Consider the following 27,714-nt stretch of genomic DNA (forward strand, 5'->3'; position numbering starts at 1 on the left):
CATATGAGCTGAAATCTACATATGTACTAGTCATCACAACACATCATTTTATTGATAAACTGAGGCATGGGGAGCATCGATGACTGATCAGGCAGATGGGTTGGAATTCAAGGTCCAGTCTGTGGCTTCAAGGCGAACTCTGCTGTGCCCCTTGGCAGCATCCTCCTGGGCTACTCAGGCATCTCATTCCTGCAGATGGCAAGAGGGGAGCTCAGATCACTCCTGTCTTGTCAAAGGGAGGAGGCGATAGCCTGAAACAGATCTGGGAAGAGGAAAGAGAATGAAGAGCGTGAGAAATGAAGAAGAGGGAGGGCAGTCAGTCCAGAGAAATAGGCAGGGACAGAGACAGGGAGGAAAAGATGAGAGGAGATGAAGAATATGTGTGTGTGTGTGTGTGTGTGCATGTGTGTATAAAACTATTACCAGCTTTCCAAATTTGATAAGTCATGTTCATTTCTATTGCCCCTTTTCAGAAAAAGATGGGAACAAGTGAAAGGGGACCTAAGAGGGCTAGTTAGGGACACAGGGAGAGCACAGCAGAGGGAAAGAGGCAGCTAGGAAGACAGGACAGAGGGGTAGAAGGGGTGGGGGAGATAGACTGAGACATCTGCCTTCTCCTCTGGGCCAGCTCTCTCCAGCTCGTCACCATGGTGATGGCTGCCCAAGGACTTTGTCCAGCTTCTGCTGCCCATGGGAAGTTATCTGGCCAGGATTTTGCTTTGCTGCAGGCTGAGAGATGAGGGCAGAGGTAAGCAGGGAGTTTAATGGGTCAGAGATACTGAGGGAGGAATCAGTGGGACAGGGCCATATGGGTGCCCTGGGCTCTGAGCAATCGGATTCGAGGGATGCTCTCCTCAGCAGAGTACTTTCTGTCTGGTGACAGGGGACTTTCTATTTTCCCTAAATGGAGAGAAATAGAATGCCTGGACCCTATGAGAAGGTAAGAGCCACATTCCTTGAGAAGGCCAATTGTGGGGAAGGGAAGGGAGGGGAGGAGAGTGAGACCTGGGCTGGACCCTGAGGTGTCTCAAGCACCAGATCCTGACCTTCATGTCATCTCTCATCTATGCCTCGGCCTCCCCAAAGGGACTAAATTATAACCACAGCAAAACATAGCAGCCATTGTACTGAAAACACACTTTGGGCTACTCAGTTAAGTGCCTTATTTTAACTTTATTTCTATCTTTATTTATTTTTAGTTTTATTTATTTAGTTAGTTTTTTGAGATAGGGTCTCACTTTGTTGCCCAGGATGGACCGCAGTGGTCTCATGAATCATAATTCATTGCAGGCTGGAACTCCTGGGCTCAAATTATCTTCCTACCTTGGCCTCCCAAGGAGCTGGAACCATAGGCATGCACCATGATGCCTAGCTAGTTGTTTCATTTTGTTTTGTTTTTTGTAGAGATGGGATCTCCCTATGTTGCCCAGGCTGGTCTCAAACTCCTGGGCTCAAGCCATCCTCCTGCCTTGGCCTTAATTTCATTTATAAAATTTGTAACACCCTAACAAGCTAGGTATTATGATGCCCATCTTACAAATAAGAAAACTGAGTCCCAGAGAAGTCGAGGTCAAGGTCGAGTAACTGTCTTTCTTTTTTTTTTTTTTTTTTTTTTTTGAGACGGAGTTCACTCTTGTTGCCCAGGCTGGAGTGCAATGGCACGATCTCGGCTCACTGCAACCTCCACCTCCCGGGTTCAAGCGATTCTCCTGCCTCAGCCTCCCTAGTAGCTGGGATTATAGGCACGTGCCACCACACCCAGCTAATTTTGTATTTTTTAGTAGAGATGGGGTTTCTCCATGTTGGTCAGGCTGGTCTCGAACTCCCGACCTCAGGTGATCTGCCCGCCTTGGCCTCCCAAAGTGCTGGGATTACAGGCATGAGCCACCGCACCCGGCCGAGGTCAAGTAACTTTCTCACATGGTCTAGGATTCCTTTAAAGACTATCAGTCCTGGCTGGGCAAGGTGGCTCACACCTATAATCCCAGCACTTTGGGAGGTGAAGGTGGAATGATGACTTGAGCCCAGGAATTCAAGACTAGCCTAGACAACATAGTGAGACTCTGTCTCTTAAAAAAAAAAAGTTTAAAAATTAGCTGCAGTACCAGGCATGGTGGCTTACACCTGTAATCCCAGCACTTTGGGAGGCCCAGACGGGTGGATCACCTGAGGTCAAAAGTTCAAGACCAGCCTGGCCAACATGGTGAAACTCTGTCTCTACTAAAAATACAAAAATTAGCCGGGCGTGGTGGCGCGCACCTGTAATCCCAGCTACTCAGGGGGCTGAGGCAGGAGAATTGCTTGAACCCGGGAGGTGGAGATTGCAGTGAGCCAAGATCGTGCCACTGCACTCCAGCCTGGGTGATAGAGCGAGACTCTGTCTCAAAAAAAAAAAAAAACAAAACAACAAAAATAATAATAATAAAATTTGTGATCCATGAAAACTCCTTATATGTTCAACTCATCCCTTCAGAGACTATTCCCAGCACCTCTGCCCTGAGCAGGGAACCTGGCTCCCCTGAAGTCCTCACTGTGCAGTCCTAATTAGGGAAAAGGAGTTGGGCTGGTGGGACCAAGGGAAAGCAGAAAGAGACAGCAGATAAGCTGTAAGTCTGCCTTTCTTCATGGCTAGGACACATAGCCCTCCTGCAATAAATCTGCCTTTTTTTTTTTTTGAGATGGAGTCTCGCTCCAGTCACTCAGACTGGAGTGCAGTGGCACGATCTTGGCTCACTGCAATCTCTGCCTTCCTGGTTCAAGTGATTCTCCTGCCTCAGCCTCCCGAGTAGCTGGGATTACAGGCGTGTGCCACCATACCAGGCTAATTTTTTTTTTTTTTTTGAGTTGGAGTCTCGCTCTGTCGCCCAGGCTGGCGTACAGTGGCAAGATATCGGCTCACTGCAACCTTCACGTCCCAGGTTCAAGCGATTCTCCTGCCTCAGCCTCCCAAGTAGCTGGGATTACAGGCGTGCACCACTACACCTGGCTAATTTTTTATATTTTTGGTAGAGATGGGGTTTCACCATGTTAGCCAGGCTGGTTTCGAACTCCTGACCTCAAGTGATCCACCCACCTCGGCCTCCCAAAGAGCTGGAATTATAGGCATGAGCCACTGCACCTGGCCAGCTTTTTGTATCTTTAGTAGAGACAGGGTTTTGCCATGTTGGCCAGGCTGGTCTCGAACTCCTGGCCTCAAGTGATCTGCCCGCCTCAGGCTCCCAAAGTGCTGGGATTACAGGCATGAGCCACTGCACCCAGCCAAATCTGTCTTTCTTTACCTACAACTGTCTTAGTAAATTCTCCTTACCACCTGCGCGATACTGGCCTCAAATAGTCGCTAGTCACATGAGACACTCACTTCTCTTCCCAGCAGCATCTCTGGAGGGAGGCTGACTCTCCTCATACTCCAGGCATCTTGGCCCCTGCTATTAGCATCACTTCCAGAGGGTCCTGTAGGGCACCTTCCCTCCCCTTTGTCTATCTTGACCATCTCTTTGTCACTCTTCTCTACCACCTGCTGGTGACTCACCATTATTCCTTCTGGATTTGGGGACCTGAAAGGAGTCTCTTTTCTCTTCCTGCCATTATTCTGAGGGACTTCATTGTCCATGAAGATAACCATCCAACACCTTAACCTCCTTGTTCCTTGACCTCCACTCTACCTTAGTCACTTTTCCATAATCACATCCTCTATGTTGTCATCACTAGGAACTTACCTACCACTTAAATCTTAAATTGAGATATTCCATGACCTCTCCACTCACCACAGCTACCTTTCTTTCTCTTTCTTCCTTTCTTTCTTTTTTGAGACAGGGTCTTGCTCTGTCACCCAGGCTGAGGTGCAGTAGTGCCATCTCTGCTTACTACAGACTCGACCTCCTGGGCTCAGGCAATCCTCCTGCCTCAGCCTCCTGAGTAGCTGGGACCACAGATGTGCACCATTATGTCAGCTAATTTTTGTATTTTTTGTTTTTAGAGATGGGGTCTTACCATGTTGCCCAGGCTGTGTCCTCTCTCTTTCTTTCTTTCTTTCTTTCTCTTTCTTTCTTTCTTTCTGTCTTTCTCTCTCTCCTTCCTTCCTTTCTTTCTCTTTCTTTCCTTCCTTCCTTCTTCCTCTTTTTCTTTCTTTTCTTTCTTTCTTTCTCCTTCCTTCCTTTCTTTCTTTCTCCTTCCTTCCTTCCTTCCTTTCTCTCTCTCTCTCTTTCTTTCTTTCTTTTTTCACGTAGTCTCGCTTTGTCCCCCAGATTGGAATGTAGTGGCGCAATCCCTGCTTACTGCAATCTCCACCTCCCGGGTTCAAGCGATTCTCCTGCCTCAGCCTCCTGAGTAGCTGGGATTACAGGCATGCACCATCACGCCCGGCTAATTTTGTATTTTTAGTAGAGATGGGGTTTTTCCATGTTGGTCAGGCTGGTCTCGAGCTCCCGACCTCAGGTGATCCACCTGCCTCAGCCTCCCAAAGTGCTGAGATTACAGGCATGAGCCACCATGCCCGGTGTGTGTCCTTTATTTCTAAAGCATAAGTTTGAGACCTCCAGTCCCACAATGCTTCTGTTTTGTCCCCATCTATCAGGCACTTCCTGCCTTGGTTCCCTCCTAATCCAACTTAGACTGTCATTTCAACCCCTTTCCAGCCCCTTTGCCCCTCATCTCTTTGCTTAGGTTAATGTTCTTAATTGCAAACCATAGAATCCATTCTATTTTAAGCAAAAGGGGGATTTTTTTTAAGGGATAAAGATAGCTCCCAGAATTGTTGGGAAGGTCCAACTCACAGAATCTAGGCTGAGCTTTCAGGAAAAAAAGCCCCAAAGCACATCGCAGAATTAGGCTGCCTCTGTCCCAGGACCACGTGTACCCTCTGCCATAACCCATGCTGGCCAATATGGGTCTGTTAGGAGCTTTTCCTGCCACATTGGGAATGGAAATGGCTTTTACTCTTACTTAATACTTCAGTATTGCTCTACTTTTAAGAACAAGCATTATTTTTATAATTAAAACTAATTTTAAGCATCTTCACCCATTGTCTACCTCTTTCTCCATCCATTGCTACCAGCGCTGCTACTTTCTTTGTTTGTTTGAGACGGAGTCTTGCTCTGTCGCCCAGGCTGGAGTGCAGTGGCACAATCTCGGCTCACTGCAACCTCCGCCTCACGGGTTCAAGTGATTCTCCTGCCTCAGCCTTCTAAATAGCTGGGATTACAGGCACACACAACCACACACAGCTAATACATGTTTTTTGTTTGTTGGTTGGTGGTTTTTTGTTTTTGTTTTTGTTTTTGTTTTTGTTTTGGTTTTAAGGAGTGGAGAATTATTATTATTATTATTTTTGAGACGGAGTCTCGCTGTTGCCCAGGCTGGAGTGCAGTGGCGCGATCTCGGCTCACTGCAAGCTCCGCCTCCCGGGTTCACGCCATTCTCCTGCCTCAGCCTCCCGAGTAGCTGGGACTACAGGCGCCCGGCACCACGCCTGGCTAATTTTTTGTATTTTTAGTAGAGACGGGGTTTCACCGTGGTCTCGACCTCCTGACCTCGTGATCTGCCCGCCTCGGCCTCCCAAAGTGCTGGGATTACCGGCATGAGCCACCGTGCCTGGCTAATTTTTTGTATTTTTAGTAGAGACGGAGTTTCACCGTGGTCTTGATCTCCTGACCACGTGATCCGCCCGCCTTGGCCTCCCAAAGTGCTGGGATTACAGGCGTGAGCCACCACGCCCGGCCAAGTAGTGGAGAATTTAATAGGCAAGAAAGAAGGAAGAGGTTCCCCCCGTACAGAGACAGAGGGAGGGAGGCTCCAAGCCGAAAGAGGGAACCCCTAATATGTGTATTTTTAGTAGAGACAGGGTTTCACTGTGTTGTCCAGGCTGGTCTCGAACTCCTGACCTCAAATGATCCCCCTGCCTTGGCCTCTTAAAGTGCTGAGATTACAGGCATGAGCCACTGCGTCCGGCCCAGTACTACTACTTTCATTCAGACCACTGACACTTCTTGCCCAGCGTACTGTAGTAACCTGCTAACTGGTTTTCCCATCCCTGTAGCCCCTCTAATTTATTCTCCACACTGCAGCAGAGTCATCTTTCTGAAGCATACCTCTGATCTCATCACTCCTACTTAAAACCCTTCAGTGCCTCTCTGTTGTCCTCGGGATAGGCCTAGACAGAGCCCTTCACGGTCTGACTGCAGGTCTCTCGGCATCGTCCCCCCGCAACCCCACCTGCCATCTCCACTCTATTGTGGCCTTGCTGGACCACTCTGTGTCTCTGGGCCTTTGCCATCACATTCCTTCTGCTGGGAAAGCTCATTTTCCCTGTCTTTGCCTGATGAATTCCTACCCTTTGCCTAGAGAAGTTTTTGCTGGGATGGCACCTCTTCCAGGAAGCATTCCCTGATCACAACCCTCTGATTGGTTGCCCCTGCCAGCTATTTCCACAGAGCTCTCTGCCACTCTGTCTTGCCATTGCCTCTCTCCCCAGTCAGACCATAAGCTCCTCAACTGTGAGGATCGTGGCTCGTTCACTGCTTTAGGCCCACCTCATAGAGTCTCATGGGGTTTGATACATGTGAAATGAGTGAATTAATGAATGTTGCCCAAGCTTACATAGCTAAGAAGTGCTAGGCAAATCCAGCTAAGTTGTTTTCCAAAACTCACATATTTTCCTTCGTGCCATGCTGCTTCTCTGAATAGGTCAGGACAATCTAGTTCTTAGGATTATTTTTTAAAAACATCCTGCCAGGCACAGTGGCTCATGCCTGTAATCCCAGCTCTTTGGGAGGCCGAGGCAGGCGGATCACCTGAGGTCAGGAGTTCAAAACCAGCCTGGCCAACATGATGAAATCCTGTCTCTACTAAAAAATTAGCTGGGTGTGGTGGTGGGCGCCTGTAATCCCAGCTAATCAGAGGCTGAGGTAGGAGAATTGCTTGAACCCAGCTAATCAGAGGCTGAGGTAGGAGAATTGCTTGAACCCAGGAGATGGAGGTTGCGGTGAACTAAGATCGTACCACTGTACCCCCAGCCTGGGCAACAAAGCAAGACTCCATCTCAAAAAAAAATTGTTATTGAGTAATAATGATATACAATAAACTGTATGTATTTAGAGTGTACACTTTGATAAGTTTTGACATATGTATACACCCATGAAACTAACACCACAATAAAAACAGTGAACATGTCTATCACCCCCTAAAAGTTTCCTAGAAAATGAAGGAACAATGGATTTTAATGTTACAGAGGACAAAAAGTTCATTGATAGGGTTTCAGAGTCTACATTGCAACTAACCTCTAAGATTTCTGTTTCTGCTGGACGTGGCAGCTCTTGCCTGTAATCCCAGGCTGAGGTGGGAAGATTGCTTAAGACCAGGAGTTCAAGACCAGACTAGGCAACATGGTGAGACCCCATCTCTACAAAAAATACAAAAATTAGCCAGGCATGTTGAGCATGCCTGTGGTCCCAGCTACTGGAGGGGCTAAGGTGGGAGGATCGCTTGACCCAGGGAAGCAGAAGTTGCAGTGGGTTGAGATTGTGCCACCACACCTCACCCTGGGTGACAGAGGGTGACCCTGTCTCAAAAAAAAAAAAAAAAATGCTATTAAAATACTCCTCACTCTTTAAACTGCAAATCTGTGTGAAGCTGGATTTTATTCATGTACATCAACCAAAACAACATTCACAAAGGATTGAATGCTGAAGAAGGTACAAGAATCCAGCTGTCTTCTATTAAGCCAGATATTAAAGAGATTTGGAAAAAAGTAAAACAATGTCATTTTTCTCACTAAGTTTTTCTGCTTTTGGAAAATGTAGTTTTTTAATTTAAAAAAGTTATTTATGTTAATGTATAATGGGTTTCTTACTGTGAATCCCTTCCCTATGCATAGGAAAGCACTTTACTACCGGGGCCATAAATGGTTAAGGTGAGAGATGATCCCAAACCCAGCTCTTGTCTATTTCATACTTTCTCACAGAGGTTGCAGTGAGCCAAGATCGTGCCACTGCACTCCAGCCTGGGTGACAGAGTGAGACTCTGTCTCAAAAAACAAACAAAAAAACACCCCATACTCCCTCATTCTATCCCATGTGTCTTGTCATCGCCCCTAACCTTTTTTTTTTTTTTTTTTTTTGAGATGGAGTCTCGCTCTGTGGCCCAGGCTGGAGTGCAGTACCACGATCTCGGCTCACTGCAAGCTCCACCTCCCAGGTTCACGCCATTCTCCTGCCTCAGCCTCCGGAGTAGCTGGGACTACAGGCGCCTGCCACCATGCCCGGCTAATTTTTTGTATTTTTAGTAGAGACGGGGTTTCACCGTGTTAGCCAGGATGGTCTCGATCTCCTGATCTCGTGATCTGCCCGCCTCGGCCTCCCAAAGTGCTGGGATTACAGGCGTGAGCCACCGCACCCGGCCTTACCTTTCTGTTTTTTGATAAGGGTTCTCGATGGTTGCCCAGGCTGGACTGCAATGGTGCCATCATAGCTCACTGCAGCCTCAAACTCCTGGGCTCAGGTGATCCTCCAACCTAACCTCAGCCTCCCGAGTAGCTGGGACCACAAGTGTGGTCCATCACATCCAGCTAATTTTTAAATTTTTTGTAGAGATGAGGGTCTCCCTATGTTGTCCAGGCTAGCCTCAAACTCCTGGACTTAAGTGATCCTCCTGCCTAGGCCTCCTAAAGTGTTGGGATTACAGGGATAAACCACCACTCCTGGCCAGTTTTAATTTCTAATTTGATAAATAGCAATAGATATAACCCACATAAACTGGGGATTTTTGGAGTCTTCAATAGTTTTTAAGATTTAAAGGGGCCCTGAAACTAAAAAGTTTGAGAACCACTGATATACAGACCACAGGTTGAGAGAAGGCCCTTAGGATGGATGGCCTGTGTTTGAACTTGGGCTTTGCTCCTTGCTAGTTTGTAAGAGAACTTTGGGCAAGTTTGTAGTCTCTCTGATCCCTAGTTATCTCATCTGTAAAATGGGAATGATTGTAATGGTACTTACTATGAAAGGCTGTTGAAGATTAAGTGAGTTAACACATGGAAACATTTGGGAAGAGTGCTGGTATATAGTAAGTGCCCAATAAATGTTATTGTCACCATCGTCATCGTCATCAGCAGCAGCAGCAGCAGCAACAGCAGCCCTTCCTGAAGTATGAGAAATGTATATAGATGCTGGAGGCCAAGCTGGGGCATGCTAAGTACGAAGGCAAGCCCTGCTGAAACCACCCCTGCTACTATGCCATGTTTGGGCCCAAAGGCTTTGGGCAAGGTAGAGCTGAGAGTCACACTTTCTTCCTTTTTTTTTTGAGACAGAGTCTCACTTTATTGCCCAGGCTGGAGTGCAGTGGCGCCATCTCAGCTCACTGCAACCTCCGCCTCCCGGGTTCAAGCGATTCTGTGTCTCAGCCTCCTGAGTGGCTGGGATTACAGGCATCCGCCACCACTCCTGGCTAATTTTTGTGTTTTCAGTAGAGACAGGGTTTCACCATGTTGGCCAGGCTGGTATGGAATTCCTGACTTCAGGTGATTTGCCCACCTGGTCCTCTTAAAGTGCTGGGATTACAGGTGTGAGCCACCTCGCCCAGCCAGAGAGTCACATTTTCAAGCAAACCCAGGTGGTGGAAACTCCATCCTCATTGGCCACCCACTGAACCACTGTTTAGGCAGATGCCAGGCCTTACACTCAGACATCCAGGGCTCCCTTTTAGCCCCTCATGCCCTCAATAAACCTGAAGAGTGCATGGCGGCGGTGGTGGGGGTGGCGGCGGTGGCGGCGGATGGGGAACAACCCAAGTGTCAGTAAGGGTTATCCTGCCTCCTTTTTTTTTTTTTTTTTTTTTTCTGAGGTGGAGTTTTGCTCTTGTTGCCCAGGCTGGAATGCAATGGCACGATCTCAGCTCACCGCAACCTCCGCCTCCTGGGTTCAAGCGATTCTCCTGCCTCGGCCTCCCGGGTAGCTGGGATTACAGGCATGTGCCACCAAGCCCGGCTAATTTTGTATTTTTAATAGAGACAGGGTTTCTCCATGTTGGTCGGGCTGGTCCCGACCTCAGGTAATCCGCCCGCCTTGGCATCCCAAAGTGCTGGGATTACAGGCATAAGCCACGGCACCCATCCAGGTTATCCTGCCTTCTATGGGTTGAGAACTGCCCCAGTTACTAAGTAGAACATAGAAGTATATGTAGGTTTCTGTTCTTATAGGCCAAGGCAGGAGGATGACTTGAGCCCAGTAGTTCAAGATTAGCCTGAGCAACACAGTGAGAACCTGCCTCTACAAAAAAAAAAAAAAAAAAAAATTAGCCAGGTGTGGTGGCACATGCCTTTGGTCCCAGCTACGCAGGAGGCTGAGGCAGGAGGATTGCCTAAGCCTAGGAGGTTGAGGCTGCAGTGAGCCGTGATCACATCACTGCAGTCCAGTCTGGGTGACAGAGCAGGACCCTGTCTCAAACAAACAAAAAACCTACAAAACAGTTTATTAATTTCCTATAAAGTTAAACATACATTCTTCCTCTATTTTTGTTTTTTTGTTTTTGAGACAGGGTTTCACTATATGTTGCCTAGGCTGGACGCCAGCTCCTGGACTCAAGTGATCCTCCTGCCTCAGTGTCCTGAGTAGCTGGGACTATAGGTGCACAACACTGCACCCTCTTCCCTTTATTTTTATTTATTTTTTGAGACAGTTTCTCTCTTGTTGCCCAGGCTGGAGTGCAATGGCACGATTTTGGATCACTGCAACCTCCACCTCCTGGGTTCAAGCGATTCTCCTCCTTCGAGTAGCTGGGATTACAGGCACCTGCCACCATGCCCAGCTAATTTTTTGTATTTTTAATAGAGACAGGGTTTCATCATGTTGGCCAGGCTGGTCTCAAACTCCTGACCTCAGGTGATCCACCTGCCTCAGCCTCCCAAAGTGCTGAGATTACAGGCGTGACCCACTGTGCCCAGCCTATTTTAATGTGACGTACAAAGCCCTCCTTTCCCATCATGACTTCATAAGCACTCCATCAAAGAACAGTTGTCTTTTAGTATCTGTGGGGGCCTAGTTCCGGGAACCCCCCAACCCCACCGCCCAGGATAGCCAAATCTGCAGATGCTCTAGTCTCTCATATAAAGTAGTGTAGTATTTGCATGAATGGGACACACACATATCCTCTCACATACTTTTTTTTTTTTTTTTGAGACAGTCTTGCTCTGTTGCCCAGGCTGGAGTGCAATGGCGTGATCTGGGCTCACTGCAACCTCCACCTCCTGGGTTCAAGCGATTCTCCTGCCTCAGCCTCCCTAGTAGCTGGGTGACAAGAGTGAAAATCTTACAGGCACCTGCCGCCATGCCTGGCTAATTTTTGTGTTTTAATAGAGATGGGGTTTTGCCATGTTGGCCAAGCTGATCTCAAACTCCTGACCTCAGGTGATCTGCCTGCGTCGGTCTCCCAAAGTGCTGGGATTACAGGCATAAGCCACTACACCCTGCCTCATATACTTTTTTTTGTTTGTTTTTGTTTTTGTTTTTTTCAAACAAGGTCTCTTTTGCCCAGGCTAGAGTGATGTGATTCCAGCTCACTGCAGCCTTGACCTCCTGGGCTCAAGTGATCCTCCCACCCTAATATCCCAAGAAACTGGGACTACAGCTGTGCTCCAATTTTTTTATTTTCTGTAGAGCTCCTGTATATTTTAAATAATCTCTAGATTACTTATAATACCTAATATAATGTAAATGCTATGTAAATAGGTGTTATACTGTATAGTTTAGGAAATAATGACAAGAAAAATAGCCTGCATGTTCAGTACAGATGCAGCTATCCATTTATCCCCATATATATATATATAGTTTTTTTTTTGCGACAGAGTCTTGCTCTGTCACTCAGGCTGGAGTGCAGTGGCGTGATCTCAGCTCCCTGCAACCTCTGCTTCCCAGGTTCAAGCAATAATCGTGCCTCACCCTCCCAAGTAGTGTGCCACCATGCCCAGCTAATTTTTTTTTTTTTTGACACAGATTTTCACTCTTGTCATCCAGGCTGGAGTTCAGTGGTGCAATCTCAGCTCACTGCAACCTCCACCTCCCAGGTACAAGCGATTTTCCTGCCTCAGCCTCTCAAGTAGCTGAAATTACAGGCGCCTGCCACCACACTCAGGTAATTTGTATATTTTTAGTAGAGACAGGGTTTCACCATGTTCGCCAGGCTGGTCTCGAACTCCTGACCTCAAGGTGATCCACCTGCCTCGGCCTCCCAAAGTGCTGCCTACAGGCATGAGCCACTGAGCGTGGCCTCCCCCAGTATTTTCAATCCAAAATTGGTTGAATCCATGGATGCAGAACCCATGGATACAGAGAGCTGACTGTGGAATTTATTTTATTTTATTTGTTTATTTTTAAATAATAGAGATTGGGTTTCACCATGTTGCCCAGGCTGGTCTGAAACTCCTGGACTCAAACAGTCTGCCCACCTCAGCCTCCGAAAGTGCTGGGATTACAGGTGTGAGCCATTGTGCCCAGCCTATAATTTCAAAAAGTTAAAAGCATGTCTCCTACATAAATAGTGGGCCACATCAAAGATTTATTTAATGTATCCTGGCATGATGGCTCACACCTATAATCCCAGCACTTTAGGAGGCCGAGACAGGAGGTTCACTTGAGTTCAGGAGTTCAAGACCAGCCTGGGCAACATAATGAGACCCCAACTCTACAAAAAAAATTTTTAAAAATTAGCTGGGTATAGTGGCTTACACCTGTGGTCCTAGCTACTCCAGAGGCTGAGGTAGGAGGTTTGCTTGAACCCAGGATGTCAAGGCTGCAGTGAGCCATGATTGTGCCACTGTACTCCAGCAGCCTGAGCAACAGAGACCCTGTCATTTAAAACAAAAATTTGCAACCTATCAATTTCCTACAAGTTAACATCAAATTTGCAAAGGTCTGTAGGGCTCTACTCCGTAATTAAACACACAGAGCTGTTTTTGTTTTGTTTTGAGACAGTCTCGCTCTGTCACCCGGCTGGAATACAGTGGCATGATCCTGGCTTACTGCAGCCTTGATCTCCTGGACTCAAGCGATCCTCCTGCCTCAGCCTCCCAAGTAGCTGGGACCACAGGTGCACACAACCACACCCAGCTAATTTTTTATTTTTAGTAAAGACAAGGTTTTACTGTGTTGCCCAGGCTGGTTGGCCTCCCAAAGTGCTGGGATTGCAGACATAACCTGTCACCCAGGCTGGAGTGCAGTGGTGGGATCTCAGCTCACTGCAGCCTCCACCTCCCCACCTCAAGCAGTCTTCCTGCCTCCTGTCTTTCCCAGCTGACAGCACATCAGCTAATTTTTGAATAATTTTGAAAGACATGCTGACATTTTTTGGTCTAATTTCTGAATTCTGGATAATTTTTCTTAAGAAGGCACACTAAAATACTCAAGGTTCAGCGAATTCCATGCTCCTCTGTCTCCCTCAACATAGAGCTTCTTTCTCACTGGGCCTGAGGTGCTTCTCCCCTCCTTAAACCTGTCTATTTCCTGCTTTGGCCTGGCTGGTTCTACAAGTCTTCAGGCCTGAGGTCAGGGGTCGTGTATCTGACCACCCCCAGCCTCATCTGGGTACCAGGCCTCCTCTGGATTCAGGCACTTCCTTGGCCCCAGCAACACTCCTGGCCTTCTTCCAGCCCAGCATCCCTGCCAGTCCTTAACAGCATCTGTTTGCTCATTGGCCTCCTCCGGAAGCCTGTGGGCTTCCACAGGGTGGGGCTGTTTTTCCATTTCTGTATCCCCAGGGCCTAGCCCAGTGCCTGGCACCCTGTGAGGCTTAATAAATGTTTGCTGAATAAATTGAATGAGGTGCTGGCTAGGCGCCTCCTCGAGGTCTCTTCCAGACTTCTTGATGAGTCTTCATTTATGGACTGGTTGCCATGGTTTTTTTTCTCTCTCTCTCTTTCTTCTGTCTCTCTCTTCTCTCTCTCTCTTCTGTCTCTTTCAGACCTCCTCCCACCTCCCCACACACTGCATTGAAATCCCAGCTGGGGGCCGTAGAGAAACAGAGGCAACCCCCTCCCTTAGAGGGTGCCAGGGGTGAGGGTGAGCCTGCACTGTCCTTGGGGCCTGGCGGGCCCAGGGATCAGGTTGCCTGCATCTGGGAGGAGGATTCTTAGGTCTCCACAGCTTTACCGTGGGTGCTTTGGGGCTTGGCAGTCTCACAGGTTAGAGGTGGGCTGGCCCTGCTGAGGCCTCAGGAGGATTTAGACACAAAGAGCCTGATTGTATGGTAATTTCCTCCTCACCTACTAGCTGGGCCTATTGAATTCTTCTTTGTACCTGCAGTGCCTTTTCTTTTGGGCTTACTTAAATGGGCCACCCCCAGATTTCCTAGCAGGGGACCTCTTCTTCTTGGGAGGTACTGCCGCAGCTTGCACCATTCCTTTGGTCCTTCTCCCCACAGGTTTCTTATTTATTTATTTATTTATTTATTTATTTATTTATTTATGAAATGGAATCTCTCAGTTGCCCAGGCTGGAGTGCAGTGGTGTGATCTCGGCTCACTGCAACCTCCATCTCCCAGGTTCAAACGATTCTCCTGCCTCACCCTCCCAAGTAGCTGGGATTGCAAGCGCCCGCCACCATGCCCAGCTAATTTTTGTATTTTTAGTAGAGACGGGGTTTCGACATGTTGGCCAGGCTGGGCTCGAACTCCTGACCTCAAGTGATCTGCCCACCTTAGCCTCCCAAAGGGCTGGGATTACAGGTGTGAGCCACTGCACCCAGCCACAGGTCTTTTTATTGTTGCACATTCCCCCCTAACCCAGGCCAGGGTGAGCCAGGGTATTCCACCCATATCTCTTAACACAGCTGGGAAAATGAACAAAGGGATGACAAAAGGAAATAATTAAGAAGTAAAAAGGGCTGGGCGTGGTGGCTCATGCCTGTAATCCCAGCACTTTGGGAGGCCAAGGCGGGCGGATCACGAGGTCTTGAGTTAAGACCAGGCTGACCAAGATGGTGAAACACCATCTCTACTAAAAATACAAAAAAATTAGCTGGGTGTGATGGCGGGCACCTGTAATCCCAGCTACTCGGGAGGCTGAGGCAGAGAACAGCTTGAACCCAGGAGGCGGAGGTTGCAGTGAGCCAAGATCATGCCAGTGCACTCCAGCCTGGGTGACAGAGCAAAACTCTGTCTCAAAACAAACAAACAAAGAAGTAAAAAGAAGGCCAGGTGCAGTGGCTCGCACCAGTAATCCCAGCACTTTGGGAGGCCAAGGCGGGAGGATCTCTTGAGCCCAGTAGTTTGAGACCAATCTGAGCAACATGGCGAAACCCCGTCTCTACAAAAACTTAAAAAAATTAGCCAGATGGCTGGGTGCGGTGGCTCAAGCCTGTAATCCCAGCACTTTGGGAGGCCGAGGTGGGTGGATCACGAGGTCAGGAGATCGAGACCATCCTGGCTAACACGGTGAAATCCCGTCTCTACTAAAAATACAAAAAATTAGCCAGGCATGGTGGCGAGCGCCTATAGTCCCAGCTACTCAGGAGGCTGAGGCAGGAGAATGGTGTGAACCCGGGAGGCAGATCTTGCAGTGAGCTGAGATTGCGCCACTGCACTCCATCCTGGGTGACAGAGCGCAACTCTGTCTCAAAAAAAAAAAAAAATTAGCCAGGTGTGGTGGCGTGCACCTGTGATCCCAGCTACTTGGGAGGCTGGGTTGGGAGGATCACCTGAGCCCAGGAGGCAGAGGTTGCAGTGAACCAAGATCACACCACTAGACTCCAGCCTGGGCGACAGAGTGAGACCCTGCCTCTTTTTTTTTTTTTTTTGAGACGGAGTCTCGCCCTGTCACCCAGGCTGGAGTGCAGTGGCGTGATCTCAGCTCACTGCAACCTCCACCTCCTGGGTTCAAGCAGTTCCCTGCCTCAGCCTCCGGTGTAGCTGGGATTATAGGTGTCCGCCACCACACCCAGCTAATTTTTGTATTTTTAGTAGAGGCGGGATTTCACTGTATTGGCCAGGCTGGGCTCGAACTCCTGACCTCATGATCCACCCGCCTTAGCCTCCCAATGTGCTGGGATTACAGGCATGAGCCACCATGCCTGGCCTGAGACCCTGTCTTAAAAAAAAAAAAGTAACAAGAAACCTTTGGTTGGTGAAACTGGGTTTCCTCCAGGTTTCTCTGACAGAAGGGTGACTATAAAATTTGTCCTTCAACCTGGACATCTGGCAGGTAAAAGGGGGTGCTATCAATAATCGTGACAGGACAACAGCATAAGCCGTGGTTGTCCTGGGCACTTTAGGATGTATGGTCAGTCAGGCCCCTTTCATGGGCACAGAACCCCAGGGAAACATCTGTCAGAGGAACAGTCCGTTTCTTTCATGTATTCATTCCACAAACGCTTACTCTTACCTCTCTTGGGAATTCCAGATAACAAGAGGTCCTTGGCCTAGGGAAGCTTACAGTCTAATGGAAGAGACAATTCATCACAAAAAGTGTGCAAAATGCTAAGATAAACAGCAGGAAAGGAAGCAGAGTCCTATGGGAGTGTATAGGAGGGGCACCTCACCCTGCCCCGAGTAGGGTGTTGGCCCTGACTTGTTGCTCATGGGAGGTGAAGCCTGAGTTGGGCTCTGAAGGAGGAGTAGATATCTGCTGGTAAAGAAGAGATTTCGTGGCCGGGTGTGGTGTCGCACGCTTGTAATCCCAGTTACTTGGGAGGCTGGGGCAGGAGAATTGCTTGAACCCGGGAGGCGGGGTTGCAGTGAGTCAAGATCACGCCACAGCACTCCAGCCTGGGCGACAAGAGCAAAACTCCGTCTCAAAAAAAAAAAAAAAAGAAGAAGAAGAGGTTTGGGTGAATAGCAAAAAGTTCTGGTCCGAAAAAACCTGCCTGTGTAGAGGCACAGACAGAAGGAGGTGCATTTGTTTTTGGAGTAACTGGAAAGCTCCTGTCTCTTTCTGTCCTTCCTCTTAATCCCGTCCTGAGCCCTCTACTTCTGGAAGAGGAGCCCATCACTTCCGTTTGTCACTTTGGTCAGAGGGGTGCTTCCTCACCGGTCTTCAGAAAAGTTTGTTGAATAGATAGATAAAGCCAAGAAGTGCCCTACACTCTTCTTCTGTGATGTAAGTGCAAAGTTTCGAACCTTGGTTTATCATTAAGAGTTATTTTCTTTCTTTCTTTCTTTCTTTTGAGACGGAGTTTCACTCTTGTTGCCTAGGCTAGAGTGCAATGGCATGATCTTGGCTCACTGCAGCCTCTGCCTCCTGGGTTCAAGCAATTCTCCTGCCTCAGCCTCCCGAGTAGCTGGGATTACAGGCATGTGCAACCACGCCCGGCTAATTTAGTATTTTTAGTAGAGATGGGGTTTCTCCATGTTGGTCAGGCTGGTCTTAAACTCCCAACCTAAAGTGATGCATGCACCTTGGCCTCCCAAAGTGCTGGGATTACAAGCGTGAGCCACCGCACGCAGTCTTTTTTTTTTTTTTTTGAGATAGAGTCTAGGTCTGTCGCCCAGGCTGGAGTGCAGTGGTGTGATCTCAGCTCACTGCAACCTCTGCCTTCTGGGTTCAAGTGAGTCTCATGCCTCAGCCTCCTGAGTAGCTGGAATTACAGCTGCACGCCACCATGCCCAGCTAATTTTTGTATTTTTATAGAGTCAGGGTGTCACCATGTTGGCCAGGCTGGTCTCAGACTCCTGACTTCAAGTGATCTGCCCGCCTCGGCCTCCCAAAGTGCTGGGATTATGGGTGTGAGCAACCACACCCGGTGGAGTTCTCTTCTATAATATTTATACTTCATCTTTCAAAAATTGAGCCCATATTGCTGCATGCCAAGCATTGTGTGCCCGAGTGATGCACAGGTCACTTCATTTAATCTTCACAACAATCCTGTGAGATAGGTAACCTCATGCCCAAATTACAGAAGAGGCTCTGTGAGGTCAGAAACTGGCCCAGGTCTCACAGCTGACTAGTGAGGAGCTGAGATTTGCTAGGATGACCTGACACTCTGAATTCTCTAAATTCCACCTCCTTAACACAATACATGTAGTCAGGGAAGGCCTGACTTTATATTATTCATTGGCCCCGAGAGCTGACTCAGACTCCTGTGGCAGCCCCAGGAGTCCTGGGTTTCAGAGGGAGTGGGAGGTGGGCAGCAGAGGGGCCCTCGAGTTTCGATAACCCCCCTGCACTTAGGCTACAGGCTGCATTGTATGATAGCGACAGACCCAGACCAGAATCCCTTCACCCTCCTCTCTAGGGTGGAGCCCCTTCCAGCAAAGCTGGCCCAGCCCTGTGATGTCACACCACTGGGCAGGGCTTCTGGGGATTGGTGACACCCAGCTGACGTCAGGGAGGTGGAGAAGCCGCAGGTCCCTCTTATCCCCAGGGCAGTTCAGGGGCTTGACTGCATTTTAGCGATGATTGTAGTTACAGATTGCTCTCCGAAACACTGGGCAGGAAAAGCTTGCTGGTGTTCTGCTTTTGGCTCTGGGATTTGAACCCATGACTGGCTCAGGAGACTTGAGATTACCAACGTGCTTTGTGTCCCCAACAAGTCACTTGTCCTCTCTGGGCCATCTCTAGAGCACAGCCTCCTAATTCAATAAAATGAAGAGGCTGGAGGAGAGATTGCCAAGGACTCTTTCAAGAGGCCCAGATAGGAGAGCAGGAGGATCGGGGGGTGGGGGGGTGTTCTGAGTTGGCCCTGTCATGGCCCTAATCTGTCCTTCCCCCATCCTTCACTCCCCCTCTTATCCCTGGTGGCCCCGGAGTGAGAACGTGACTCATCCAGCTCCAGGCACCCAGTTTCAGCCTTGCCCCACCCCTGCCCCGGGCCTCTCATTTGCTGTTTACCCCCCAGGAGCAGGTGCACCTGGGTCACCTCACCGCAGGAAGGAGAGATATAAGGCTCTAGGGCACAGCCTGACTCCACACCCACAGATTGCCCAAGGCCAGCACAGGGGTTGGAGCTCTCTAGAAAGGTGAGGCACTTGGGGAGCATAAAACAGCTCCAAGTGGGCCCACCACCCTGTCCAGCTGCTGAGCTCAGCCCGCTGCCTCTCATCTCTTCCCATGGGTTTGTCTTCATTCACCCACTGCCCCTAGAGCAGCCCAGGCCCCGCCCTCAGCCTGAGGACCCTGTGCAGAGCTCAGCCAGTTCCAGGAGGGGAGGGCCTCTTGAAGGCAGTCGGGGGCCAGGGGAGCTGGTGCTCACATTGAGGAGCTGTGGAAGGCAGGCCTAGGCCCACACATCCTGTGCTAAGAAGAGAGGACAGGGTGTGGAAGGAGGGGTTGGAGTGGGAGACCCATAGCCTGATTCAGCCCCGAATGGAAAAGTGAAGTTATGGGGGGACTGAAAGGTTTGGTGACAGATACTGGGATGTGAGTCTGGAAAGCGGCTTTGAGTCATGGCTTGGCATCTACCCTCCCTTTGTGACCTTGGCCATGTCCATTGCCCTCTTATCCCCATCTGTACAAGGCAGGCGCCTCAGTGTTCCCATCTGTACAAGGTAGGGGCTCAGCTGGATAAGCCTAGGCTCCTTCTAACCCTGGCACTCTGTGGTTACCCAGGTGGGCATCCCCACCCCAGTGCCCAACCTTCCCCTATCCCCACTAGCTCCCGCATCTCCCCCATGGAGAAAAAGAAACCTCGCTGGGTCATGGAACATGGGAAGGGTTGGCAATTCCTGTGTGAGGCAGCCCAAGGCAACCTCGGAGCCCTCCTGCAGATACCCAGGGGGCCTGCCCCGCCCCTGGCCCAGGCTCCAGACCACAGAGCAGACAACAAAGGCAGGCAGGTGGAAAATTCCCTCTGGCTCTCCGCCCAGGCACCCTGGATGGCAACTGTGCCAGCCTGGGCGGGCAAGAGCCGGGAGTCCAGGATACCAACAGGCAGCCTGGCAGCCCCAGGGAGCTGATAAGGGGCCTGTCAAGGTCTCCCCAGTTCAATTGCCCCCCACTGCTCAGACACAGAAATTGTATTCTACTCAGGTGGACAAACAGGTGGGAGGAGGAGGATGGGGAAATATGTGGTTGTTTGAACTTCTCAGAAGTTGTAGCCCTGAGCCAAGAAGATTATGCCAACTCCTCCCACTACCCTGAGCTGAGTGGTCCCTGGGACTCTTAATGGAGGACCGGGGGCTGCAGCTAGTTTGGCGGACAGACAGAAAACGGATTTCGTCAAGTGTTCCTGTGCCTGCTGGGCTCCTGCTGGCTGCTGGTCTCTGCCCTGTGACCTTGGGCAGTGTGTATGCTCCTGGAGGGCTTGCTTTGCCCATCTCTCACCCTGGAATAACTGTCTGGGTCCTGCTCCCTGGAAGGGCATGAAGCCACACCCATGTAAGGCCTAGGAGAAGTGAAAAGCCCTGTGTGTACATGTGACTTGAGGCCGGGAGGCAGACCACTCCCAGAGCCTGCATGTTCAAGGATTCCTTGCATCTGGAAAGCCAAGACAGGGACCCCTCCTGCCTGCCTCTCTTCTGCTTTCTGCTCCGACCCCCTGAGCTGGTTACCATGGCAACAGTTCCCTGCCTATCTCTCCAGAGGCCTTTCACAGAATCCAGAGTTGGTTTCTACAATGTTTACCCACAAACACTTTCTTGTTGCCAGTCAGTTCGGATGGCACTTCCAGAACTGAGGAAATACCTTTGTGACTTCGCCAGGTCACAGCCAGCTGGCCCCTGGAATCACTCCCCAGTAGGGTGCCATCCTTCGGGCTCTGGAGAGCTGAGGAGTCAGGGTGTGGCCAGGTCAAGGTGAACCACATGCTGCTGGGAAAACTACCCAAAGGGCACGTCCCACTGACCCGCAGTCAGCAGCCTGCAAGCGTCATTGCCTCTACAGGGAACATTGTCCGTCTAGGCTGGCAGAAGAAGGCCCTAAAGATAAGGCAGGGCATGAACCCAACTCCATGACAGCCAATTAGCTCCACTCCAAGAACCCAACCGCTGTGACTCACTGACAGCCAATCAGGAGGCCCAGGGCCAGATACTTTTTTCAGCTAGACACACCTGTAACCTGCTAGCCATCTGTTGAACCACACCCCTGCCCCAACCATTCTAGAAAGAAATATAAATCTCTTTTACAGCTGTAAATGGAGAGCTCTGTAACTCTAATATGGAGGGAGATACACGCTGATCTATATTGAGCTCAGAGACAGACACAAATGCATAAACATGCACCTGCACAGATGAAAATCTAGCTATCAGCCCTGCTCCTTCCTGCCTCCACCAAGGTCACCACCATCTCTATTCTCCTCCACCCTCCTGGGTCAGAAATTGGCAAAAGAGAAAAGGACATTGCAAGAGACCTAAATATACCTTTCCAGTGCACAGTGGCAGCTTTCTGTGAACTGTTAGGCCAACAGTGGTCCAGACATTTTCCCTCATCCTCTGCAAAAAACAACAAAACCAAACAAAAACATTGACTGGGCATCATTCGTAGGTTTACCTGGGAATACTAGTGCTTGGAGGGGACTGAGAGTACCCCTAGCAAAGCCCCATTTTACGGATGAGGGCTAGGCCCAGAGGGAGGGTTTCTCCTTCCAGAGGAGGGCTCAGTGCTCGTGATTGTTGGCAAGGGCATCTTGCCAAAGTTCCAGGATCCAGGTCAGATATTGGCCCCATGGTCCCACCCTGGAGGATTTCCTGTAGGGGGGTGCCCCCCAGCTGGCCACAGTGGATCAGGCATGTCCAGAGGGAGACCTGGGAAAGGGGCACTATGCTTGTGTGTCCTCCAATCTTCCTACTCTAGGCCCTGCCCAAAGGCTGGGAGAACAGGGATCTTCTGTTGACTATGAGGGAAAAATGCTAGTTCATAGGTCCTAGTTGAACTAGCGCCTATGATTCCGGGGTCTCTGGGATGCCTGGGATCATGGCAGCATGGCCCAAGGTCCTGCAGCAATTTGAGTCAGAGCCACATTACCAGGCTGCAGGACAGCAAGCCAAGACCCCCCAGCCTGGGAGTTTCAGGGTCTATGAACTAGCGCCTAGGTGCTAGATGAACTAGCATTTCAGTGCTCTATGCCAGAGGGACCTCAATAGAGGGAGATGCAGACAATCCAAACTTGTTTCAGTGTAACCCTCAAATTTTCGAGCCCTCCAGATGCAGGGCACTCATACTACCCAGTATTGAGACTCTAGACATGACCTTGACTGAAGGCTGCCACGTCTTCAAGCAGAGACCTGCTAAAAACGAAAACAACTTATATGCATGAAGTGCATACTTTGTGTCAGGAATTATGCTAGGCACTGGGGAGACAGACATGACCTAGGTTCCCAGGCCCCTGCAGGTTGTTCTCATGTAGGGTGTATAGGGTAGTTTCAGCAAAGGGCCTCCCTCAGCCCGCAAGGCCACAGGCCCCCAAACGGGCAAAACACTGCCCCTGCAGATTCACAGGACTTTTGTGCTGGTTTAGACAGGAGAGAAACAGAATGAACCCCAGGAAGATTCAGAGGGGTCAAGATCTGACCCCTACAGCCAAGGACAGCCAGAGGTAGGAGGACCTTTGCTCATGGGTAGAAATCATTCTATTCATGCATAAATCAAGTCTCACCCAAGATGTTGGGCAGCCAGCTTGGCCTTGCCTGTTCTAGGGAATAGAGGCTGGGCTCCGATTCCAGAGCTAGGGGCTGGGGTGGGATCTCTGAGTCTTTTTTTTTTTTTTTTTTTTTGAGACAGAGTCTCACTCTGTCACCAGGCTGGAGTGCAGTGGCACGATCTTGGCTCACTGCAACCTCCGCCTCCCAGATTCAAAAGATTCTCCTGCCTTAGCCTCCCAAGAAGCTGGGATTACAGGCGTGCGCCACCATGCCCAACTAACTTTTATATTTGTGGTAGAGACGGGGTTTCAACATGTTGGCCAGGATGGTTTTGATCTCGGCCTCCCAAAGTGCTGGGATTATAGGCATGAGCCACCATGCACAGCCTTGTAGTTTTAGCAGAGACGGGGTTTCACCATGTTGGTCAGGCTGGTCTCGAACTCCTGACCTCCAGTGATCCACTAGCCTCTGCCTCCCAAGGTGCTGGGATTACAGGTGTGAGCCACCGCGCCTGGCCCCCTGTGTCTGTCTTTAACCTCCTCTGCATACAGGAAATTTCCTCCGTCTCTCCCACAGGGAGGTGTGGCCAGGGAGCTTTGCCCCCTCCCTTTGAAGCACTCTCTGCCTCTTCCCCACCCCCAGTATGGGGTAATGGCTAAGGGGGACATAAAATAGACTCATCATTTTAGGAGGGGAAGAGGAAACCCTCAAAGCCATTCCGGAGTCTTTGGGATGCCTGGGATCATGGCAGCACGGCCCGAGGTCCTGCAGCAGTCTGAGTCAGAGCCACATTACCAGGCTGCAGGACAGCAGGCCGAGACCCTCTAGCCTGGGGTTTCAGGGTCTGCTGCACCCTGTAAGCAGAAGTGCCTGAAGGCATTGGACAGTGCTCTTAGTGGGACTGGGAGAATGAGGCAGGTGTGTGAAGGAGGAGTGAATAGAGGGAGTGAGGAAGGAAATTGACATTCATCAAGAACATGCTTTATGTCAGGAATGCACCACTCAAGTTTCATAATTTAATGTTCAGAGCAACCTTGGAGGTGCATGTTATTGTCCTCAGTTACAGTCAAGAACTGAGGTTGGGTAAGGTGTGGTGGTGCTTGCCTGTAATGCCAGCACTTTGGAAGGCTTAGGCGGGAGGATGACTTGAGCCTGGGAATTTGAGACCAGCCTCGGCAACACAGCAAGACTCTATCTCTATTTTAAAATAACATAATTGGCCAGGCACGGTGGCTCATGCCTGTAATCCCAGCACTTTGGGAGGCCGCGGTAGGCGGATCACAAGGTCAGGGCATCGAGACCATCCTGGCTAACACGGTGAAACCCCGTCTCTACTAAAAATACAAAAAATTAGCCAGGTGTAGTGGCAAGTGCCTGTAGTCTCAGCTACTCGGGAGGCTGAGACAAGAGAATTGCTTGAACGTGGGAGGCTGAGGTTGTAGTGAGCTGAGATCAGGCCACTGCCCTCCAGCCTGGGTGACAGAGCGAGACTCTGTCTCAAAAAAATAAATAATAAAATAAAATAATTATTATTAATTTTTTTTTTGAGGCGGAGTCTTGCTCTGTCACCCAGGTTGGAATGCAGTTTCACATTCTCGGCTCACTGTAACCTCTGCCTCCCAGGTTCAAGCAATTCTCGTGCCTCAGCCTCCCGAGTAGCTGGAATAACAGGTGCCTGCCACCACGCCCAGCTAATTTTTGTAATTTTAGTAGAGACTATGTTGGCCAGGCTGGTCTTGAATTCCTGATCTTAAGTGATCTACCCATCTTGGCCTCCCAAAGTGCTGGGATTACAGGCATGAGCCACTGTGCCTGGCCTATTTTAAAATAATTTTATTTTAAAATATTAAAAAAAAGAAAACTGAGGTCTGCCGGGCATGGGCCTATAATACCAGCAGAGGCAGGAGGATGATTTGAGCCCAGGAGTTGGAGGCTGCAGTGAGCTACGATCGCGCCACTGCACTCCAGCCTGGGCGAGAGTGAGTCCTCGTCTCAAAAAACAAAAATCAAAAACTGAGATAAAGACAGGTTAGCCGGTCGTGGGTGGCTCATGCCTGTAATCCCAGCACTTCGGGAGGCCGAGGCGGGTGGGTCACGAGGTCAGGAGTTTGAGACCAGCCTGGTCAACATGGTGAAACCCCATCTCTACTAAAAATATAAAAAAATTAGCCAGGCGTGGCGGCGGGCGCCTGTAGTCCCAGCTGCTGGGGAGGCTGAGGCAGAAGAATGGCGTGAACCTGGGAGGCGGAGCTTGCAGTGAGCAGAGATCGCGCCACTGCACTCCAGCCTGGGCGACAGAACGAGACGCCGTCTCAAAAAAAAAAAAAATTAGCCAGGCGTGGTGGCAAGCGCCTGTAATCCCAGCTACTCGGGAGGCTGAGGCAGGAGAATCCCTTGAAGCCGGAAGGGGGAGGTTGCAGTGAGCCGAGATTGCCCCATTGCATTCTAGCCCGAGCGAAAGAGCGAAACTCCGTCTCAAAAAAAAAAAAAGACAGGTTAAGTGATTTGCCCATGGCTACATAGCTGGGAAGTGAGGAGATGTGGATTTCTGTGGATCCAATTTCATGTGTCTAGGATGACCCATCAACTCCAGAGAAGGGCAGGAAGAAGGTGCCGCTCTTAGGCTCAGAGGGACTCAGAGGTAGAAGTTCAACCATCCTTTCCCTCCCCACCCACCCAACCGGCCCCCTGAAAGCTGTCCAGGCAGATGCTGCCCAGGGAAGGGTTAACCCTCCTCTTTGGCTCTGCCCTGCATTCTTTTGTGCTGAGCTCTCTGGCAGCTTGTGTCAGGACATCAGGGCAAGAAGGCAGAAAGGACATGGCTAGGGCACCTGGCAATGAATAATCTGTTTGTCGTGGCCGTGCTGCCTTGTGGCTGTGTGGGATGGGGTGGGGATGGCGGCAGTGCCAGGACTTGGGGTCAAGGGCTCAGGGAGGGGGCCAGCCAGCTTGGAGGCAGGACCTGAGACTCCTCTATGTTTAGTGCTTGCTCCATCTCCCAGACAGCCACCTAAACAGGAACTGTGGCAGCTTTCCACGTTTGCCCCTGGCTGCAGCCAAACCTATCTCAGCTACAGCCTGGGACTTGGATCTCCCTGTAAGATTTCTATCCCATCCCTCTCCACCTGCCCCAGGGCTTCAGAACCAAGTTCTAGACTCCAGAGGGCCCTGCAGCCTGCCCCTCCAGCTACCAAGGATGAAAATCTGGTACAGGCATCTGTAGGGGACAGCCAAATGTGCCTGGAATCACTGGGGAAGGGAGATATGAGAGGATGCAGGGTGCCCTGTGGGGTTTCCCAGGCTCCTCCAGCCTCACCCCATTCCTGCCCTGGCTCAACTGCTTGGTCTTGTGATTGCAGGGGCCAGACTCTCTCCTCCAGCTGAGTGATGCTGGGCTCCACCCAGCAGCTGGCTCTTCCTGGAGTCTTTCCTCCCCACCAGCTCTCTTCCTGCCTGGAACTTCTGCCCCAGCTCCTTTCTACCAGACTAACTCTCTCACTTCCACTCAAATTCTGCTCCTGAAGAAATCCCTTCTAGAACTTCTCAGGAAGCCTTCTTTGACTCACCCAAGCCTGTCTGATCCCCTTGGGCTCTCCTGCCTGCTGCCATCCTCACATACCTCCACCTGTTACTGTGGCCAGTGCCTACTCCTTATGCATTTGATGTTATGCTTGCTGACTGTGTCTCACACCTGGATTCTGTGTGTGTGTGTGTGTGTTCTGTCTCTTCCAGAGGACAGAACAAGAACCAACGGGTGGATTTTCCTTGAGTCACATTTCTGATAAGGGAACAAGTTCGGCATGATCACAGCCATCTAAACATTGGAATGGGCTATCTTGAAAGTAGTGAGCTATCAAAGGAGGGGTTAATAACAAATGCTTCTGGGTAGCAGTGATGTGTCTGCCACATGAAAGGCTTTCAGTACACATTTGTTAAACAAATAACAACCTGCTGGCTTTCTCTCCTCCCACAGCCACTATGTGTCTCATAAATGCTTGGGGTTTTTTTCTGTTGGGGCAGCCAGTTGGGCCCCAAGAGGCAAGTCCCTGCCTGTAGTTATTCTGATATTGAAAGGGTCCTTACTGAGAAACTAACCTGGAGAGCAATCCTAGTAAGCAGAAGAGGACCTCTCTCCACCCATCTCTTGGTGTGGACTTGGAAGAGAGTAGGTGTTTATAGAGAGCTCCTAGCACTTGGTGCCAGCTAGGAGATACGATACGGGGGCTCTGGGATCTGGGAGGTAGGATCATGCCTTGTCAGCTGGATCCCTGGGCTCCTTGTAACCAACTATGCTTGTATCTCTTTAGCATCCTTGAGGATTTCATTGCATCTGAACATTCCAGCCTTGCCTTAGCTGTGCTGTAGGCCAGTGAGGAAAGATGGTGAAATGTGCTCGAAACATTGCATGCAGGCAGCTAGCTGCCATGGCTGGGGAAGTCACAGCGTGGGGAGGATACCCCTTTCCCCCAAGGAAAGGGGCATCTTGGGGCAGGAGCAGAAGACAGTTGAAAGACTTTCTGCTGACCATCTTGAAAGGTTTTTTTTTTTTTTTTTTTGTGACAGTCTCACTCTGTCACCCAGGCTAGAGTGCAGTGGCACAATCTCAGCCCACTGCAACCTCCGCCTCCCAGGTTCAAGCGATTCTCCTGCCTCGGCCTCCCCAGTAGCTGGGACTATAGGTGCACGCCACCACACCTGGATAAGTTTTGTATTTTTAGTAGAGACAGGTTTCAACATACTGGTCAGGATGAACTCCTGACCTCAGGTGACCTGCCCACCTTGGACTCCCAAAGTGCTGGGATTACAGGAGTGAGCCACCCAGACTTGAAAGTTGTTAAGTGTTACCTTTGTCGAGGAAGCCAGAAGTTTCCTCCCACCCCCATTAAGGAAATTTTGGCATTTTATAACAGGTAGGATTTTTGAGCAGTTTTTTGTTTCTACTTACTATTTACTTGTTCTTTTTTTTTTTTTTCGCCCCCTGAAACACATGTATCAAGCATCTACTGAATGCCAGGCACTGAGAACCAAGATAGGGAGACACAGGACCTGCTCACCAGAGGTTCAGTGACTTCCTGATCTGGGAGCTCCAGGGGCACAGTGTTTCTCCCTCTGTCCCCTCCTACAAGCATCCTCCCACCCCCACCCCTCACCATTTGAGTGCAATGGGAATGCCTAGTATAGTAGTTCTCAAACTCTAGCCTTCATCAGAATCCCTGGAGGACTTGC

General features: G+C 49.9%; 1 long non-coding RNA gene and 1 pseudogene across 1 annotated transcript, besides 3 other annotated features; one reads left to right on the plus strand and one right to left on the minus strand.

Annotated features, from left to right (window-relative positions):
- Window positions 1-24: 24 nt before the first annotated feature.
- On the minus strand, window positions 25-21,468 carry LOC105371684 (uncharacterized). Its single transcript, XR_001738375.2, has 2 exons — window positions 21,268-21,468; window positions 25-189 (listed from the first exon to the last, which is right to left on the minus strand). It is a non-coding gene; the product is annotated as an uncharacterized LOC105371684 (long non-coding RNA).
- Window positions 9,057-9,276, plus strand: CRIP1P3 (cysteine rich protein 1 pseudogene 3; annotated as a pseudogene).
- Window positions 15,336-16,310: an enhancer, noted in NCBI's record as "H3K27ac hESC enhancer chr1:202072166-202073140 (GRCh37/hg19 assembly coordinates)". NCBI's record gives its function as "activates a minimal SCP1, AML or CMV promoter by ChIP-STARR-seq in primed H9 embryonic stem cells {active_cell/tissue: H9 hESC(primed)}" and the evidence as "EXISTENCE:reporter gene assay evidence [ECO:0000049][PMID:30033119]".
- Window positions 16,311-17,285: an enhancer, noted in NCBI's record as "H3K27ac-H3K4me1 hESC enhancer chr1:202073141-202074115 (GRCh37/hg19 assembly coordinates)". NCBI's record gives its function as "activates a minimal SCP1, AML or CMV promoter by ChIP-STARR-seq in primed H9 embryonic stem cells {active_cell/tissue: H9 hESC(primed)}" and the evidence as "EXISTENCE:reporter gene assay evidence [ECO:0000049][PMID:30033119]".
- Window positions 20,212-21,185: an enhancer, noted in NCBI's record as "H3K27ac-H3K4me1 hESC enhancer chr1:202077042-202078015 (GRCh37/hg19 assembly coordinates)". NCBI's record gives its function as "activates a minimal SCP1, AML or CMV promoter by ChIP-STARR-seq in naive H9 embryonic stem cells {active_cell/tissue: H9 hESC(naive)}" and the evidence as "EXISTENCE:reporter gene assay evidence [ECO:0000049][PMID:30033119]".
- Window positions 21,469-27,714: the final 6,246 nt, after the last annotated feature.

Source organism: Homo sapiens, chromosome 1 (assembly GCF_000001405.40).
Source record: "Homo sapiens chromosome 1, GRCh38.p14 Primary Assembly".
In the NCBI taxonomy this organism is placed as follows: domain Eukaryota; kingdom Metazoa; phylum Chordata; class Mammalia; order Primates; family Hominidae; genus Homo; species Homo sapiens.